The sequence below is a fragment of the Homo sapiens genome, chromosome 18 (genome assembly GCF_000001405.40).
Source record: "Homo sapiens chromosome 18, GRCh38.p14 Primary Assembly".
In the NCBI taxonomy this organism is placed as follows: Eukaryota; Metazoa; Chordata; class Mammalia; order Primates; family Hominidae; genus Homo; species Homo sapiens.
This window is the reverse complement of record NC_000018.10, coordinates 74,039,273-74,043,643: the sequence shown is the minus strand read 5'-3', so window position 1 is coordinate 74,043,643 and position 4,371 is coordinate 74,039,273. Positions and strand designations below refer to the sequence as shown.

The 4,371-nt window shown below is 44.2% G+C and overlaps 3 annotated features.

The window, feature by feature from the left end:
- Nucleotides 2,552-2,681: an enhancer, noted in NCBI's record as "active region_13490". NCBI's record gives its function as "activates an Ori minimal core promoter by ATAC-STARR-seq in GM12878 lymphoblastoid cells {active_cell/tissue: GM12878}" and the evidence as "EXISTENCE:reporter gene assay evidence [ECO:0000049][PMID:35858748]".
- Nucleotides 2,552-2,850: a biological region, named in NCBI's record as "Sharpr-MPRA regulatory region 9472".
- Nucleotides 2,556-2,850: an enhancer, noted in NCBI's record as "tiled region #9472; HepG2 Activating non-DNase unmatched - State 12:CtcfO, and K562 Activating non-DNase unmatched - State 12:CtcfO". NCBI's record gives its function as "activates a minimal TATA promoter and a strong SV40 promoter by Sharpr-MPRA in HepG2 and K562 cells {active_cell/tissue: HepG2 | K562}" and the evidence as "EXISTENCE:reporter gene assay evidence [ECO:0000049][PMID:27701403]".

Here is a 4,371-nt window from a genome sequence, read left to right as displayed (position 1 = left end):
TAGTAAGGATAGCTCTTTGTGTGTGTGCGTGTGTGTAAGCAAGAGAGAAAGAGGGAGAGAGAGTTTTTAAAATTTAATGTGATTTTAAGTTCCTGGATACACATGCAGGATGTGCAGGTTTGTTACACAGGTAAACGTGTGCTATGGTTGTTTGCTGCACCTATCAGCCGATCACCTAAGCATTAACCCCTGCATGCATTAGTTATTTATCCTGATGCTCTCCCTCCCCCACCACCACAGGCCCCAGTGTGTGTTGTTCTCCTCCTTTTGTCCATGTGTTCTCATTGTTCAGCTCCCACTTATAAGTGAGAACATGTGGTGTTTGATTTTCTGTTCCTATGATAGTTTGCTGAGGATAATGGCTTCCAGCTCCATTCATGTCCCTGCAAAGGACATGATCTTGCTCCTTTTTATGACTGCATAATATTCCATGGTGTATATGTGCCACATTTACTTTATCCAGTCTATGATTGATGGGCATTTGAGTTGATACTATGTCTTTGCTATTGTGGATGGTGCTGCAATGAACATACGTGTGCATGTATCTTTATAACTGAATGATTTATATTTCTTTGAGTATATACCAAGTAATGGGATTGCTGGGTCAAATGGTATTTCTGGTTCTAGGTCTTTGAGGAATTGCCACACTGTGATCCACAATGGTTGAACTAATTTACATTCCCACCAACAACGTGAAAGTGTTCCTATTTCTCTGTAGCCTCGCCAGCATCTGTTTCTTGACTTTTTAATAATCACTGTTCTGACTGGCATGAGATGATATCTCATTGTGGTTTTGATTTGCATTTCTCTAATGATCAGTGATGTTGAACGTTTTTTCATATGTTTGTTGGCTGCATGTATGCCTTCTTTTGAGAAGTGTCTGTCTGTTTATGTCCTTTGCCCACTTTTTAATGGGGTTGTTTTTTCTCTGTAAATTTGTTTAAGTTCCTTGTAGATTCTTTGTCAGATGGATAGATTGGAAAAAATTTAGAGAGAGAGAGTTTAATAGGAAACACATTGACACCTTCAGAGAAGGAAATATTTAAATATTTTGAGAGAAAAGCCATTATAAAGTTGAAAAGTTTTTCTAGCCTCCGTATAAACATATCCCCCCTCTAAGTTTTTAGAAAAGTTTTATTATTCTTATTAAGATAACTTTATGTTGAGGTTTTGGTGTGGTGATTTAATAGCACAGAATAAAGAAAAAAAATGTGATAGAGACCAGATAATTTAAAAAGTTGAGGAGTGTTAGTCTCTTTTGAGATAAATCTGTTAGTCTCTTTTGAGATAAATCACTACTAGTCTTTCAAATTGGGTTTGCATTTGTTTGTAGTTGGCCTTCAGGGTGGAGCAGCAAGGACAATGGCTAGAGCATTGCTTTTGCCACTGGGGCAGCTTTGCTTCTGTTCTGCACTCTGCTGCCCATTAATCGAGTCACCTTGTATGTGTGATTTGGTTCCCTGGGTCTCAGTTTTGTCATTTGTGAAATATCATCTGTGTAATGATAGAAAATGTCTCATAAGATTGCTGTGTTAAATAACGTGGGTAGCACCTGGCCCATAATAAATGTCCAGCTAATACAGTTATCATTTCTCCGTGTTTATACTGAGCAGTGTATTACAGAGAATTATGTCTGTGCGTATTACTTAGCAGCACGGCTGAAAAGGGAAAAGTAGAGTAGAATTGGGAATCAGGTACAGAGGCTTGGAATTTATCTACTGCAAGAATTGGCATTATTTCTTTTTGCTTTGTTTCTTTTCCTATCCTGTTGAATCATGTCCTTGGAAAGCTGAAATTAATCTCATCCTAAAATCTAGAAACTGCTAGTGTAATACATACAAAATACATACTCTTCTCATAGTTTGCATTCCTTCTGATTTAAAATAAGTTATTGAAAGATTTGTTTTCTTTTTCCAGTTCATTTATGTGATCATTTCATTGCACTCTTACTAGCATTCACAGTGTGGTATGCACTCTGCTGAATATAAGCCAGAAAGCTGAGAAAAGAGGAAGAAAAATTCAAAGAGGAAGAGTAGGAGAAAGCTTTGGTCTGGGGAGAGCTTGCAGACCCATGGGGCACATGGTCCTGAGGGCAAGTGGTCTCCATGTATTGTGGTGTATGGGCAGTGGTCTTTGCATGCTGTAGTCTCCACATACAGTGGGCTCCACATGCTGTGGTCTCTGCATGCTGTGGTCTCTGTATGCTGTGGCCGCTGTGTGCTGTGGCCTCCACGTGCAGTGGTCTCTGTGTGCCGTGGCCCCTGTGTGCTGTGGTCTCTGAGTGCTGTGGTCTCTGCGTGCTATGGCTTCTGTGTGCTCTGGTCTCTGTGTGCTGTGGTCTCTGTGTGCTGTGGCCCCCGTGTGCAGTAGTCTCTGTGTGCTGTGGCTTCTGTGTGCTGTGGTCTCCGTGTGCTGTGGTCTCTGTGTGCTGTGGTCTCCACGTGCTATGGCCCCCGTGTGCAGTGGTCTCTGCATACTGTGGTCTCTGTGTGCTGTGGCTTCTGTGTGCTGTGGTCTCTGTTTGCTGTGGTCTTTGTGTGCTGTGGTCTCCACGTACTATGGCCCCCGCGTGCAGTGGTCTCTGTGTACTGTGGTCTCTGTGTGCTGTGGTCTCTGCGTGCAGTGGTCTCTGTGCCCTGTGGCCTCTGCGTGCAGTGTTCTCTGCCTGCTGTGGTCTCTGCTTGCTGTAGGAAGGCCTCCATGGGAGCCATGTGGAGCAGGCCTGCTGCCCCCTGCTGGCGGGGTGAGGAGGCATCACCGAGACTGTTCTGTGGTGGGAAAAGGAAAGTTGTAGAAGAAAAATTTCACTAGAGGCCTGTTAAAAACGGCCAGAAAGACTTTACCCAAGACTATTGCAATAGGAGAGAGAGAGAGAGACAGAGAGAGAGAGAGAGTGCGAGAGCACGCGCGCACGCTAGAACTCAACTGTGTTGAGACGAAAAGCAGGAGTGGTTTGAAGGGTAGAAAGCTCTAAGTATGTCAGGGCAGAGGCCGGTCCGTGGGATTAGGAAAGCTGTGCTTGCTAAGTGACCTTTGTTTTCCAGGTTCCTACCTTCCCATAGAGACTGAGGAATAAGGATGCTGTCTTTCTTTTCCTCCAGCTTTATTGAGGTATAAGTGACAAAAATTGTATATCTTTAAGGTGTACTTTTTGGTGTCTTAGTATCTGTGTGCACTGTGAAATGATCACCATAATCAAGGAGGTATCTTTCTTGATGATTATATTTCAAAGTGATGGCCCTCAGGTCCTTGAGGAAGACAATTCTGGGCTATAAAACTGGCTAGAGGCTGGAGGAAGCTTTACATCTCAAAGCGGCAGATAAAGGAATCACAATGGCAAGTTTTCTAAAGTAAATGCTCTAGGAAAAGCGAAATCGGGCTCTACAGTCAGGAGGAAGCCTGCCTAAAGTTTAGTGCAGCTGAGGGGATAGTGAGGCCCTGTGAATCACAGTGAGGGGGCCAGGGAAGGATATGAGGGAGAACAAAGGGGCTCAAGGCCCAGAGAGGCTGTAGAGTGGGAATGCTCAAGCCATGGCTCCAAAAGGCACTGGCCGGCTTCAAATCCAACACCCTCACTTCCTAAGTATGTGACAGAGCCAAGTGACTTGAGCTCTTGGGCCTTGACTTCCTTTCATGTAAAATGGGCATATTGTCTGAAGGATTAAATCAAGTAATTCCTGTGAATGCTTAGCCGACTGCCTGGTGTGTGCTACGGGATAATGTAAGGGTTTTATTTGATATGATTGCATAGAGATCGCAGGCAAATAGTGTGATATTCTTGAATGGCAGGGGTTGGAGCTGAATGTCTTCATCGGGCCAGGATGGGAGGGCCTGTGTGTGTGTTCCTAAAGAGTTCAACCTTAGGGGAGGACATGAGAGTTTTAAGCAGGTTGTGACATGGTAACATGTAGATTCTTAGAACAATCTGGCATTCATGAAGAGAGTATGTGTGTTAGTCCATTTTCACACTGCTATAAAGAAATACTTGAGATTGGGTAATATATATAGAAAAGAGATTTCGTTGGCTCATGGTTCTGCAGGCTGTACAGGAAGCATGGTGGCATCAGCTTCTGGGGAGGCCTCAGAAAACTTAGAATCATGGCGGAAGGCGAACAGGAAGCTGGCACTTTACACAGCCAGGAGCAGGAGGAAGGGGGAGGGGAGGTGCTACACACTTTTAAACACCAGATCTTGTGAGAACTCTATCGCGATACAGTACCAAGGGAGGAGGCTGCTAAACCATCATGAAAACTCCACCTCCATGATCCAGTCACCTCCCACCAGGCCCCACTTCCAACCCTGGGGATTACAATTCGACATGAGATTTGGGCGGGGACACAGATTCAACCATACCAGTCCATTACATACACA